This window comes from Homo sapiens, chromosome 4, assembly GCF_000001405.40.
Source record: "Homo sapiens chromosome 4, GRCh38.p14 Primary Assembly".
Lineage (NCBI taxonomy): Eukaryota > Metazoa > Chordata > Mammalia > Primates > Hominidae > Homo > Homo sapiens.
Window position 1 is genome coordinate 36,973,247 of NC_000004.12, and position 16,502 is coordinate 36,989,748.

Consider the following 16,502-nt stretch of genomic DNA (forward strand, 5'->3'; position numbering starts at 1 on the left):
GTAGCAGGCAAAAGTGACTGATAAATATGTTCAGTTATTATTACACTACACCCAGACCATGAGAAAGCAGTCTTAGCTATATTCATGTACACATAGAATAGTATAGGATAATAATGACCTGTACCTATATTTATACCTTTATGCCTATACCTAAATCTCTACCTATTTGTTTCTGTGTCATCTGAATGAATACACAGCTAGATGGATAGATAGATGATAGATAGATAGATAGATAGATAGATAGATAGATAGATAGATAGAGGCATGAGGACCAATTTGAAAATATAAGCACTTTATGAGCCACATGTTTTTACATTGTAATCATTTGGTTTCTACAAAAAATTGACCCCAGAGAGGGTAAGCAACAACACATATCATACTCTTTGTTCCAGCAATTAGAGTGCTGTGGTTGTTAAGATATCAATTATAAAATATTTTATTAAAACACAAACACTTTTTTCTTTTTGAGCAAGATGATTGATTATTCACAAATAGTTTCAAACCACTTGTCAATAAAAATGAGCATCGTTTCCAATTCATCAAAATTATAGGACTTCATTACACTAAAAACAATAAATCACACATCTAACAGCAAACCGACCCCTAATAACCTTTGTTACCTACTTTCTAACATTTCCCAGAGTGTGACATTGAACTCTCATGAGGTAAGATGCTCTATTTTCTAGCTGTCTGTGGCAAAATATAACAGAGTAACATTAATTTCTAAATGTGATTTTTGAGATGAAAGGTGAGTGGTAAATTTTGCAATTATCTTTTGAAAGGTAAGCAAAATATACTTTGCTCTTTAGAAAAGATTCCATTTCTATATCTACATTATAAACCATATATCAAGTGATTTTACGAGAAAAAAAGTAAGATCAAGATTACATATTAAAACAAGAGAAATGGGGGTGAAGTCTTAGACTTGGACCCTGGAAAGATGATGAAACAGGAGAGAGCTCTTTTTTGGAGATTCTCCTCCCTTTCAATGTCCATCCCCCAGCTTCTAGAGCTTCTCCCCACTCTGGGAGCATTCATGGTACTCTCCAGACCCCAGTCCAATCTCATGCATCAATGTCAAGTAACTCCACCTGCCTAATCTATTATAAATCTGATTTCAGATTGAAAGATAAGACAACTGTTCCAGATGACTACTTCTCTTTTTTTCCTTTCGGCGGTGGCGGGGGGGCTGCCATATTTAACTGGAAGTCTCTTTAATAAAAGAAGTTATCTCATAGTTTTTTTTTTGAAATTTTTATTTTTTTAATTTATTTTATTTTTTATTATTATTATACTTAAGTTTTAGGGTACATGCGCACAATGTGCAGGTTAGTTACATATGTATACATGTGCCATGCTGGTGTGCTGCACCCATTTAGCATTAGGTATATCTCCTAATGCTGTCCCTCCCCCTCCCCCCCACCCCACAACAGTCCCCAGAGTGTGATGTTCCCCTTCCTGTGTCCATGTGTTCTCATTGTTCAATTCCCATCTATGAGTGAGAACATGTGGTGTTTGGTTTTTTGTCCTTGAGATAGTTTACTGAGAATGATGCTTTCCAATTTCATCCATGTCCCTACAAAGGATATGAACTCATCATTTTTATGGCTGCATAGTATTCCATGGTGTATATGTGCCACATTTTCTTAATCCAGTCTATCATTGTTGGACATTTGGGTTGGTTCCAAGTCTTTGCTATTGTGAATAGTGCCGCAATAAACATACGTGTGCATGTGTCTTTATAGCAACATGATTTATAGTCCTTTGGGTATATACCCAGTAATGGGATGGCTGGGTCAAATGGTATTTCTAGTTCTAGATCCCTGAGGAATCGCCACACTGACTTCCACAAGGGTTGAACTAGTTTACAGTCCCACCAACAGTGTAAAAGTGTTCCTATTTCTCCACATCCTCTCCAGCACCTGTTGTTTCCTGACTTTTTAATGATTGCCATTCTAAGTGGTGTGAGATGGTATCTCATTGTGGTTTTGATTTGCATTTCTCTGATGGCCAGTGATGATGAGCATTTTTTCATGTATCTTTTGGCTGCATAAATGTCTTCTTTTGAGAAGTGTCTGTTCATATCCTTTGCCCACTTTTTGATGGGGTTGTTTGTTTGTTTCTTGTAAATTTGTTTGAGTTCATTGTAGATTCTGGCTATTAGCCCTTTGTCAGATGAGTAGTTGCGAAAATTTTCTCCCATTTTGTAGGTTGCCTGTTCACTCTGAGGGTAGTTTCTTTTGCTATGCAGAAGCTCTTTAGTTTAATTACATCCCATTTGTCAATTTTGGCTTTTGTTGCCATTGCTTTTGGTGTTTTAGACATGAAGTCCTTGCCCATGCCTATGTCCTGCATGGTATTGCCTAGGTTTTCTTCTAGGGTTTTTATGGTTTTACGTTTAAGTCTTTAATCCATCTTGAATTAATTTTTGTATAAGGTGTAAGGAAGGGATCCAGTTTCAGCTTTCTACATATGGCTAGCCAGTTTTCCCAGCACCATTTATTAAATAGGGAATCCTTTCCCCATTGCTTGTTTTTCTCAGGTTTGTCAAAGATCAGATAGTTGTAGATATGCGGCGTTATTTCTGAGGGCTCTGTTCTGTTCCATTGATCTATATCTCTGTTTTGGTACCAGTACCATGCTGTTTTGGTTACTGTAGCCTTGTAGTATAGTTTGAAGTCAGGTAGCATGATGCCTTCAGCTTTGTTCTTTTTGTTAGGATTGACTTGGTGATGTGGGCTCTTTTTTGGTTCCATATGAACTTTAAAGTAGTTTTTTTCCAATTCTGTGAAGAAAGTCATTGGTAGCTTGATGGGGATGGCATTGAATCTATAAATTACCTTGGGCAGTATGGTCATTTTCACAATATTGATTCTTCCTACCCATGAGCATGGAATGTTCTTCCATTTGTTTGTATCCCCTTTTATTTCATTGAGCAGTGGTTTGTAGTTCTCCTTGAAGAGGTCCTTCACGTCCCTTGTAAGCTGGATTCCTAAGTATTCTATTCTCTTTGAAGCAATTGTGAATGGGAGTTCACTCATGATTTGGCTCTCTGTTTGTCTGTTATTGGTGTATAAGAATGCTTGTGATTTTTGTACACTGATTTTGTATCCTGAGACTTTGCTGAAGTTGCTTATCAGCTTAATGAGATTTTGGGCTGAGACAATGGGGTTTTCTAGATATACAATCATGCCATCTGCAAACAGGGACAATTTGACTTCCTCTTTTCCTAATTGAATACCCTTTATTTCCTTCTCCTGCCTAATTGCCCTGGCCAGAACTTCCAACACTATGTTGAACATACCAGAATCTCTGGGACACATTCAAAGCAGTGTGTAGAGGGAAATTTATAGCACTAAATGCCCACAAGAGAAAGCAGGAAATATCCAAAATTGACACCCTAACATCACAATTAAAAGAACTAGAAAAGCAAGAGCAAACACATTCAAAAGCTAGCAGAAGGCAAGAAATAACTAAAATCAGAGCAGAACTGAAGGAAATAGAGACAAAAAAACCCTTCAAAAAATTAATGAATCCAGGATCTGGTTTTTTGAAAGGATCAACAAAATTGATAGACTGCTAGCAAGACTAATAAAGAAAAAAAGAGAGAAGAATCAAATAGACGCAATAAGAAATGATAAAGGGGATATCACCACCAATCCCACAGAAATACAAACTACCATCAGAGAATACTACAAACAACTCTACGCTAATAAACTAGAAAATCTAGAAGAAATGGATAAATTCCTCAACACATACACTCTCCCAAGACTAAACCAGGAAAACGTTGAATCTCTGAATAGACCAATAACAGGATCTGAAATTGTGGCAATAATCAACAGCTTACCAACCAAAAAGAGTCCAGGACCAGATGGATTCACAGCCGAATTCTACCAGAGGTATAAGGAGGAGCTGGTACCATTCCTTCTGAAACTATTCCAATCAATAGAAAAAGAGGGAATCCTCCCTAACTCATTTTATGAGGCCAGCCTCATCCTGATACCAAAGCCTGGCAGAGACACAACCAAAAAAGAGAATTTTAGACCAATATCCTTGATGAACATTGATGCAAAAATCCTCAATAAAATACTGGCAAACCAAATCCAGCAGCACATCAAAAAGCTTATGCACCATGATCAAGTGGGCTTCATCCCTGGGATGCAAGGCTGGTTCAATATATGCAAATCAATAAATGTAATCCAGCATATAAACAGAACCAAAGACAAAAACCATATGATTATCTCAATAGATGCAGAAAAGGCCTTTGACAAAATTCAACAACCGTTCATGCTAAGAACTTTCAATAAATTAGGTGTTGATGGGACGTATCTCAAAATAATAAGAGCTATCTATGACAAACCCACAGCCAATATCATACTGAATAGGCAAAAACTGGAAGCATTCCCTTTGAAAACTGGCACAAGACAGGGATGCCCTCTCTCACCACTCCAGATGACTACTTCTCAAATGTGCCCTAAACATGCTAACATGTAAGTGACCAATAAATAATATCATGTTTCTCATTGGCATTCTTATATTCAATAAAATAGGTCATTATATTACATATGACATCTAATTTGTAAAAATATACACTTTCCCCCATGGGACTCAGTGTAACTATTTGCATCTTGAGTGTGGAAAAACCTGTGTCCCATGAAAACGTCTGTATTCTTTAAGTGGCTCTCACTCCAATGTAGATAGATATAGGCATAGGTGCAGATCTAGATGCAGGTATAGGTATAGGTTGTTATTACTGTACATCATGTTATATAAGGAATTCTCTTCTCCCTACTCTTTTTCTGAAACAAAGCTCTCCTTTTCACAGGCTATCTGCACTCAGCTTGTAGTTATCAGAAAACAGTTAGTAATTTATTTTAAAAGTAACTTCAGGAAGAAATGGATGTTGTGAATGAAGGAATTTAAAGCAGCATGAAGAATAAAATCAGTCATTTAGTCTGACAGGCAGTCGTGGGCAGCTATTTGGGTTATAAGGCAACTATCTTGCTGTTTAAACCAAACCCCATGCCACATGCACGACCATTGGAGTATTATGTAAGTGTTCAACCAGTGCCAAAATTCTATCATTCTTAGCTGTCTACTCACTATAGGTAGGGCCGATCCCCAAATTCTAAAAGATTGAAATGGATAGGATCTTGATACCATTTTTCTTGTATGTTTTAAAATAGCAAGCCACTCACTTACAAATTTGAACAGGAGATTGCATTTGCCAAACATGTAGTTATAATTGAGATTTTCATTGTGTACCTCTTTGCGAAAATGCAGATGGATTAGCATTCATGGTCACTGAGTTCTGTTTCCATGGATATAGTTTCAGTCATGCCAACCAGGGACAGATTGTGTACTTTATTACTTTGTTTCAAGTATTATTCAAACATTTAAAAAATATCCCAGCACTATACAACATTATATGTTAATGTAGTGGTAATATTTTGGTAATATTTCGTTGACTTTAAATGATTTTGAGGTTCCAATCACGATTTCTTAAAAGTATGCACCTAGATTGTAATACTGAAAGCCTATTGGTTTAACTAGGCATGCTAGCTTGGCGTCCAGGGAACTCCTGAAGAAGCCAGAATTAAGTGAACTCGCAGTTTCATTAATATCCAAAGAAGAGTTAGCCTGGTAACAAGATGTTTCATCTACTACAATTCCAAAAAGCTTTAGAAAAGGCAATGGAGGACTACAGCTAGGAGAAAATTTACTGGTCAGATAAATACAAAAATTATTTCACTCTTCCCTACTAGACTAGTAAATTTTTAAAAACTATGTTTTTATATTCTCGTATTTCTCACAACCCAGTTTTTAAAATTTATTAGTACCTAATACACAATTGTAAATTTAATGTCACATATCTGTTGTTGGTCTTTTAATTAGAACCTGGTACCAACAGAGTTTTAAATACTGACAGTGATGAGCCTGGAACGAATACCGAATATGCATGTTATTTTCAGGAGTGTGTTGAGGCATTCCAAGTGGCATAAAAAATAATGTGTACATAGCTTGTAAACGTGGAAGTTTATTATATGAGGATAAGTTAATTCAATTCAATAAGTAATTTAATTCAATGCACTTTGGATACATTGGAGGGAAAAACAGTCAAAAAATTTTACTCATGGATCTTATATCCTAGCAAGGGAGACCACCAATAAATAATAGATATGATAAACAATTGTGTGGTGTGTTAGAAGGTTACAAATGTTTTGGAACAAAAGAAAAAGTAGAGGGCAAAGGGTAATCTTGAATAGTAGTGGTGTGGGCTGTTGCCAAGTTGCAGTTTTTAAAATGATCAAAGTCTGCCTCATTGACAAGGTGAGATTTAAACAAAGGCTTCAGGAGTTGAGAGAGTTGGCCAAGCAGGTGCTGGGGAAAGAGCTTTCCAGGCAGAGGCAACACCTAGAGCAAAAGTCCAAAGGTGAGAGCGTGCCTGATGTGTTCAAGGAAGACCAGGGACATAAGTGTAGCTCTCCAGGGTAGTGCAAGCAGGGAAGAGCTGTAGAAAATAAGGTCAGAGAGGTAATGAGGAAGCACACTCAGTCATACACAGCCTGACACATGGTGATTATATGAACTTTAGCTTCTGCTGAGTACAGGGAAGAGCCATTGCAGAATTCTGAGCAGAGAAACAGTCTACTGAGATGTAAGTTTCAAATGGATGATTCTATTTTTGTATAGAGTACAGACTATAGAGAGAAGAGGATAAATGCAGGTGACCAATTTGGAGAGGGTTGCAGTAATCCAGGGACAACAGATGGGGGCTCAGATCAGAGTAAGAGGTGCTAAAAAGTAGTTAAATTCTGGATATTGTTTGAAGGTAGAGAAAAAAGAACTTCTTGATGGATTTAATAAGGAAAACATGAGAAAGGGGGGAATAGAGGATGACTTTGGCCTGTGCAACTCAAAAGATGGAATTTCCTCAACTGAAATGAGGAAAACTGGATGGAGAAGGTTCCAGGAAGAAGATCAGGCGTTCAGTCTAGGATACGTTCAAGCAGAATTGTTAGACAGTTGTGTATATGAATCTGAAGTTCAAGTACAAAGGTCTGGAGTGGAGGTTTAAATTTGGGAGTCACCAGCAGATAGATGGTACTCAAAGCCACTGGCCTGGATGATTCCAACAAGAGAGTTCATGTGTGGACCAAGGACTGAGCCTTGGCAATACAACTTTAAGTCAGGACGAAGAGGGAGATTAACCGGAAAGGAGCGCCCAGTGAGTTAGAAGGAAAGCAAAGGATGTGTGTGGTTTTTTTCAAAAGCTAAGAGAAGAAAGTGCATCAAAGGGGAAGGAGAAATCAATTTGGTCAAAACCTATAATAGGTCAAGTGAGATGAGGGGGAAAAAAAATGGCCGTTGGGTTTAGTGACACAGAACTAGTTCATTGGTAAATTTAAATATTCAACCTTGCATCAGTATCGCCACTTTCTGAACACTGCCATTTTGATTTATGCATGGAATTTCCCCCAACCAAGTTTTATGTCCTTGGCTTTCTTTTATTTTTCCTTATAACTGTCCTTTTCTTTGGTGTTTATGGGTGAATATTGGTTTTCTCTTAAATCTTTTAACTCCTTATATTTTATGTGCTTTCTCGGCACATGCTTTTGAATTACATTTTTAAATTTTAATTTCATTTCACATTTATAATATAGAGCAATGTTTGAATTCAGCTATTAACTTTTATCCATCTCTTAGTCTATATTGATTTTTTGGTTGTCTTTCCAAATCACATTCATGCCTTATTTTAGCTGCCACATTGTATAAAGTTATCTAGCATTGTTTAACTTTCACATCTAGTAAGTAGCATAGTAACTGAATTGTAACTGTAATTGACAATAAACATCTGTTTTATTTCCCCATTTTTTGTTAATTCAACAACACAGTTGTATTCTACCTGGTGCATTCATTGAATCTTGCTAAAAAAAAATCTAAATCACACCAATATTTTGTTTCTAACTCCTCCTCTTCAACAGCCTCTAGATTATATGCATTTTCCATTACTTTTATTTGTATTGCAAATTACTGTAATCTTACTTTTGTTACTTTTATTTCTGGAGATTCTTTTGTTACTGTTTACCAACTGTGACTTTCATTCTGGCTGACCTTTGTAATTTCTTATTTATTCAGATTTGTGTCATCTTGCTATTGTAGGTACATTTATACATCCTGGAATGGCATTCCAGTTTACTCAGTGTTCTCAAGGCAATAAATGTCATGTCCTGATGTGAAAATATAACTATTAATATAAAATGAGTGTGCATTAGAGACTGCAATCAGTAGCAGAATAGAGGTAATATAAATTGATAGTTAGGAATATTGAAAAGGAAGTTAAAAGGGGAAAATTTATTAGCTAGCTAGTAATAAAACTCTAGAAAGGCCAATGCAAAGACTTTCTATCTATGCAAGTCCAGAGAACTATACATCTAAGTCATAGCTCTACACAATTGTCAAATCCTTCCCATTTAAATAGTAAATACATGCCCAACATACATACACTTAAACATCATTAAACAAGAATAAGCCAAGGAGCATATTAATAGTCATCTTCATCTCTTCCTCTAATACTTGCTCTGCTTATATGGACAGACATTTTGAGTTCTGACAGACCATTTATTTAGATAGGTTCAATTAGCAAGTTATGCAAGGTAGTCAAACTGATTTGAAAAAAAAATGAATGTCATTGAACACTTCACTGCACAGGATGTCTTCAGTTTTTATTTTCCCAATAAATAGTAAGCTATGTAGTAGACTCTTATGGTAATAATTTCTGTATTCTAAAATGTCAACAAAAGAAAAATATCCCTCAGAATTTACTTATGCTTCAGAGATCTTTCTAAGGATTTAAAACAATTTAGGTAGCCACTCTTTAAAAAAGAAAACAAAACAACAATATGAAACTGTACATATGTAATTCTCTGTGACTCAAAACTCAAAAGTGTTCTTTCCACGGTAGAAACTCAGAAGGTAGAGAGAAAAACCAGCTATTTTATGTGTATGTTGTTTTCAGTTATTATCACATTCTTAATGAATTTTCTGGAGGTCTACAATGACCCTAGATCCCATGAAATGATAAATTAAATGTGAAAGTGTGTCAAGTACTTGTATAAGATACTCCAATGTCTTCAGAATTTACAAAATTTTCTCTGAAGTTATCAAGGCAGAAAAGTGCAGCGATCATTGAGTCACGAGATATAAATTCTCTTCATAGCTGGTTCAACTAGCTGATTGATCCAATGAGTGTTGCTCTGCCTCCCCATTATCCATTCACCCTTATCCTGAGAGTCACTTCCTGATTTCCCTATCGGGAAAGATGCCTCAACTCTGAATTTTATAATTGTTATGCTTTATGTTGCAGATGGATGAATATACAAACCTACTTAAAAGAAGTGGGAATTTATTTTTTTATCTAGAGTCTTTGTTCAGGCAATCCTTCACCCAGAGTTCCAAAAATGGGAAAAAAGACCTAGCTTCTATATCAATTTTTTAGTTGCTTTTATTCCTGTGTTATCTTTACTTGATTTCCAGCTAGTAACCTAAAAACCCTTAACCAAACATACAAATCAAGATCAAAAAACAAAAATGTACAGACATAACATGAATGGCAGCTGAATTAGTTTCCTGTGGCTGCCATAACAAATTACTACAATCTGGGAGGCTTAAAAGAACAGAAATTTATCCTCTCACAATTCTTAAATCTACAAATCTAAAATGAAGGTGTCAGCAGGGCTGTGCTTCCCCTGAAGGCTCTAGAGAAGGATCTTTTCTTGCTTTTTCCAGCTTCTCTTTTTCCTATAAAGATGCCAGTCATTGGATTGAAGGTCCACTCTAGTCCAGTAAAATCTCATCTCAAATCTTACCTAATTACATCTGCAAAGACACTACTTCAAAATAAGGTCACATTCTGAGGTTCTGGATGGGCATGAATTTTGGGGGAACATTATTCAATCCACTATAGAGATAAATAACAATAAACACCAATTGCATTGTGTGACTCTCAGGACCTCATTAGATCTCTTTGGATGTTAGTTTTCTTTTCCTGTAAAATATTTGAAATGGGCCAAACAAGGGAATCTTTAAGGTTTATTCTATCCTTGCCTTCAATGAATCCTAGGATCAAAGGACAATGTCATCCAAGTGTTCAGGCTATGAGCACAAAAAATTGGGCTTTTCTAGTCATACATGTACTTATCTACAAGGTGCACATATTATGAGTTTGGCTTTGTAGGACATTTTTTCATTCTGGAGACATGAAAGATTTCTTATCAAGTCTAGCTGAATTTGGGCAATGTGTGACTCCTGACCATTTTTCAGTGATGTTCTTGGCCATGATATTCAGAAGACTGTGTGTGTGTGTGTGTGTGTGTGTGTGTGTGTGTGTGTGTATCCCAAGTAGCTGGAACTACAGGCGCCCGCCACCACGCCTGGCTATTTTTTTGTGCTGTTAGTAGAGATGGGGCTTCACCATGTTAGCCAGGATGGTCTCAATCTCCTGACCTCGTGATCCACCCGCCTGGGCCTCCCAAAGTGCTGGGATTACAGGTGTGAGCCACCATGCCTGGCCTATATTTTCTTTTCCAAAGATTTTTTAAGACCATTTGCTCTTGTCTTCTCCCTGTTAAGGATTATAGCTTTTTAAATAGCATAATGATCACTTAGCAACTAAAGAATTCCACACAGATTTATAAGATGAATCTGTTTACCAGATATATTAATCTAACTTGAAAACATTTTTTAGTACTTTATTTGCAGGATGCTTTTTAGCATAAATGTTGTTGGAATGAATTTGGCCATTTCAACAGTCTTTATTTAAATTTGTTTTATAACTAAAATAATGTTAATGAGACGGTGGTCTTTTCCTTCAAATAGAATGATAGGCAAGTGCAAGAATGTTAGAGATCAACTTGGTTGGTGATGTTTCTCTTTTGAGAACATGGACATGGGTTGTGAGTCTGCTTCATGTAATCCCAGGCACTAGGGAGGCTGAGGCAGGAGAATCGCTTGAACCCAGAAGGTGGAGGGTGCAGTGAGCTGCACTCCAGCCTGGGGGACAGAGCAAGACTCAGTCTCAAAAAAAAAAAAAGAAGAAGAAGAAAAAAGAAAAGAAATGTAACATTGTAAAATGATAGTCCCTATGGAAGGCAGTATGACAGCTCCTCAAAAAAGTAAACATAGAATTACCGTATTGATCCAGTAATTCCATTACTGGGTGTATACCAAAAAGAACTGAAAGCAAAGAATCAAGCATATATTTGTACTCCTATGTTTATAGCAGCATTATTCACAACAGCCAAAAAGTGGAAGCAACCTAAGTGTCCACTGAAAGGTCAATAAATAAACAAATGTATGATATACATACAATGGAACTTTAATCAGCCTCTGAAAAGGACATTCTGATACATGGTACAACATACATAAACCTCGAAGACATTATGCTAAGTGAAATAAGTCAATCACAAATTGACAAATATTTATTATTCCAGCTCTACGAGGTCTCTAGAATAATCAAATTTATAGAAACAGAAATTAGAATGATGGTTGTAATGGGCTAGAGAAATGGGAAAATGGGGAGTTAGTATTTAATGGGTACAGAGTTTCACTATGGGAAGAAGAAAAATCCTGGAGATGGATGGTGGTGATGGCTGCACAACGATGTGAACATACTTAATGACACTGAACTGTACACCTAAAAATGGTTAAAATTCTAAATATTAATTATGAAGTGAGCATTAACTAACATAGGCCATATTCTAGAGTATTAAAACTTAACTGGAACAGGAGGCCAGGCACAGTGGCTCACACCTGTAATCCCAGCACTTTGGGATGCTGAGGCGGATGGATCACCTGAGGCCAGGAGTTCGAGACCAGCCTGGCCAACATGGTGAAACTCTATCTCTACTAAAAATACAAAAAAATCTAGCTGGGCATGGTGGCACATGTCTATAATCCCACCTCCTTAGGAGGCTGAGTCAGGAGAATCACTTGAACCAGGGAGGCAGAGGTTACAGTGAGCCGAGATTGTGCCACTGCACTCCAGCCTGGGCAACAAGAGCGAAACTCCGTCTCAAAGAAAAAAAAAAAAAAACTTAATTAGAACATACTTAATGACACTGAACTGTACACTTAAAAATGGTTAAAATTCTAAATATTAAGTATGAAATGAGCATTAACTAAGACAGGCCATATTCTAGAGGATTAAAAAAGTCACAATAAATTTTAAATGGTATAATTCATATGAATTATTTTCTCTGACTATAATAGAATTAAATTAGGATTCTAGAACAATATCTAGAAAATCCCTCAAATATTTTGAAACTAAATACACAAGTCTTAGTATTTTATGCATCAAAGAAGAAATCATAAATGAAAATAAGAAAGCAAATTCATCTGGATGAAAATTAAAACATCTCAAAATCTTTGAGAAGTAGCTAGGGTAGTATTTAAATGGAAATTCATAGCCCTAAGTGTCAATATTATAAAAGAAGATAAATTGCAAGCCAATGGCCTCAGGTTCTACTTAAGAAAAAGAGAAACAAATTAAAACTGAAATAAAGTAAGGGAATATTAAACATTGGGGTAGAAATCAATAAAATATAAAGCAGGAAAACAATGAAGAAAAAAATGAAATCAAAAGCTGGTTCTCTGAGACATTCAATGAACTGTTAAACCTCTAGCTAGACTTATTAGGAAAAAAATAGAAAAGACACAAATTTCTAATGACAAGAATGAGAGAGGTGGTACAATTATGATAGCTCTATTGACATTTAAAAAAATAAGAGAATTCTATTTGCAAATTATGTAAAATATGTGACAACTCAGAAGAAATATATAAATTTCTTAAAAGACACAACAAACTAATGAAGTTCACTTAATAAGAAATAATAACCTGAATAACGAGATATCTATTAGGGAAATTGAATTTTAAACCTCCCCTTAAAGAAAATTCAAGGCCCACATGTCTTCACTGAGGAATTTGACTAAGCATTTAGTGGAGAAATAATACTAATTCTGTTCAAATACTTCTAAGAAAATGAAGAGAAAATTCATATCAACTCATTTTACAAGGCCAGCATATCCCTGCTACCAAGTGAAGACATTTGAAGAAAATTACAGACCAATATTCCTCAACGTGGAGGAAAACTTTCTTGTTTTATTAGTCCTGAGAGTTTATTTGAAGTAAGTCACAACAAAAAATAATAAATACTTGTGTTGTCTTGGTTTTACTTTCAGCCTGAAGTGTCTCAAGCAAAGAAAACCATGAGATAGAATAAAGCTGGATACATACGGACATAGAAACTGGTATTCTCCTTTACATCTTTCCCTTTCTTTCAATATCTTTTTCTCTCTTTATTTTAACTATTATTTTAAGTTCAGGGATACATGTGAAGGATGTGCAGGTTTGTTACATAGGTAAGCTTGTGTCATGGGGATTCATTGTACAGATTACTTCACCACCCAGGTATTAGGCCTAGTACCCATTAGTTATTTTTCCTGATCCTCTCCCTCCTCCCACCTTCCAACCTCCAATAGGACCCAGTGTGTGTTGCTCCCCTCTATGTGTCCATATGTTCTCATCGCTTAGCTCCCAGTTATAAGTAAGAACATGTGGCATTTTGTTTTCTGTTCCTGCGTTAGTTTGTTAAAGATAATGTCTTTCAGCTCCATCCATGTCGCTGCAAAGACATGATCTTGTTTTTCTTTATGACTGTATAGTATTCCATGGTATATATGTACCACATCTTCTTTATCCAGTCCATCATTGATGGGCATTTAGGTTGATTCCCTGTCTTTACTACTTTGAATAGTGCTGCAATGAACATAGACGTGCATGTGTCTGGAAGTTGAATCCCACAATATAGAAAAAGGTAACAAAAATAAAAGTGGGGTCTATCCCAGGAATGCAAGTTTAGTTGAAGATTCAAGAATCAATTAATGTAATTCATTATAATAATAGACTGAAGAAAAAAACATAATATCTTACCAATACACGCAGAAAAGTGGTTGACATATCCAACATCCATCCTTGATTTAAGTTAAAACTGAAAACTCTCAGCAAGCTTAAAATAGACGGGAACTTCCCTAACCTAACAAAAGGCATGTAGGTAAAACCTACAGCTGGCACACTTAGTAGTGAAAAATTAAATGCTTTCCCCTAAGTTCAGGAACCAGAAAAGGATACCCACTCTCATGATTTCTATTCAGCGTCGTATTAGATGTTCTAGCCAATGCACGAAGCTGAGTACAATAAATAAAAGACTTCCATATTAGAAGAAAAACTATGTTTATTCACAAATAACATGAGCATCTGTGTCGAAAAGTCAACGGAATAATAAAAGTTACTAGAACTAATAAGAGTTTTTCAGAGTCTAAAGATTTGAAACTAGTATATTAAAATTAATTGTATTTGTATATACATGCATAAATCTCAGAAATTGAAACTTAAAAAACAAGTATTTAAACTAGCAGCATAGAATGTAAAATACTTAGGGATAAATCTCATGAAAATGTGTAAGATCTATACAGTGAAAATTGCAATACATTTATTTTTTAATTATTTTATTTTATTATTATTATACTTTTAAGTTTTAGGGTACATGTGCACAATGTGCAGGTTTGTTACATATGTATACATGTGCCATGTTGGTGTGCTGCACCCATTAACTCGTCATTTAGCATTAGGTATATCTCCTATGGCTATCCCTCCCCCCTCCCCCACCCCACAACAGTCCCCGGAGTGTAATGGTCCCCTTCCGGTGTCCAAGTGTTCTCATTGTTCAATTCCCACCTATGAGTGAGAACATGCAGTGTTTGGTTTTTTGTCCTTGCAATAGTTTGCTGAGAATGATGGCTTCCAGTTTCATCCATGTCCCTACAAAGGACAAGAATTCATCATTTTTTATGGCTGCATAGTATTCCATGGTGTATATGTGCCACATTTTCTTAATCCAGTCTATCATTGTTGGACATTTGGGTTGGTTCCAAGTCTTTGCTGCAATACATTGTTAAGAGAGATTAAGTAAGACCTAAATCGATGGAAAGATACATCAGTTCCATGAGTTGGAAGAATTGTAATATGTCAATTCTGTGTACATTAACCACAAATTCAATGCAAACCAGGCAAAATCCAAGTAGGCAGATTGGTAGATATCAAAAACCTGAATCTAAAATTGGTGCAGAAATCCAAATGTCCTAATGCAGCCAAAACAACTTTGAAAAAGAAAAAGAAATTGGAAAGACCTCTAGTAAGAACAACATGAACAAATGTCAAAGTGAAAGAAACTAGAAACAAAAGACTACATGTTATAAGATTTCATTTATTTAACAGACTTTAAAAAAACAGAAACTATAGTCATATAAAGCAGGTCAGTGGTTGCACGGGGTCTAGGCATTTGGAGGAGAGAATTAATTGCAAAGGGACACAAATGTATGTTTAAAATTTTACATACAGTAATGGTGATGGTGGTTACACCACTGTCTATATTTGTCAAAGCTCATCAAATTATATATTTAAACTAATGAATTTTATTATACAGTATTATACTAGAGCTAACCAAAATAAAAGTGAAAATCTCTGTGGGGGAAACTATAGAGAAACATATACTCTTATATGTTGGTGGTAAGATTTCAGGACTGTTCAACCACTATGGAGAGAAGGTTAGTAATATCTAGTAAAATCACACATGCATATGTTCTCTGACTCAGAGTTTCTCCTTTTAGGAACCTATTCCAATGATACATTGACAAAAATATGAAATGGTGTAGACACACAGCTATTCATTGCCAACAGTCCTTTAATAGTATCTTATACCATAAATTAAAGAATAATGAATAAACAAAGAATAATACAGCCATAACAAAAAGACACAACAAAAAGTAGTCCATTCAGGTGGGTCATACTGGCCAAAGATGGAACAATCTGAGCATCGATTAAAATAACGGCTGCAGTGATTTGAAACCTATCAGTTTTGTTAAACTCCATGAGGTCAAAATGATACTTGAAATGTAGCTAACTGGTCATCTCAGAGAGATGCTATGGAGCCAACTCATTATTCTGAAAACTGATAAATAAAAGGAAAAGTACAGCATATTTCCCCCCAGTTCTGAATATACTATAACTTGAGGTAATTGAATAGTTGTGGAAAATTATTTTAGAAAAATTACACCTAAGAAATACAGAAAAGTATGATGGAATTATAATATGACTATTTTAAACCCCTCCTGAAAAAATAAATTTATTCAATTATCATTGTGGTTGCTAAAATAATTAGGTGGAGCCAGGCACAGTGGCAGGTGCCAGTCGTCCCAGTTACTCTGGAGACTGAGGCAGGAGGATCACTTGAGTCCAGGAGTTCAAATCCAACCTGGACAATATAGTAAGACCCCCATCTCTAAAAAGTAAAAATAAAATTATTATGGGAAATTCTGATGCAGATTATAACAATGGATAGACCATAGTGAAAACACCTAAATCCACTGATCAACCTGAGCATTAT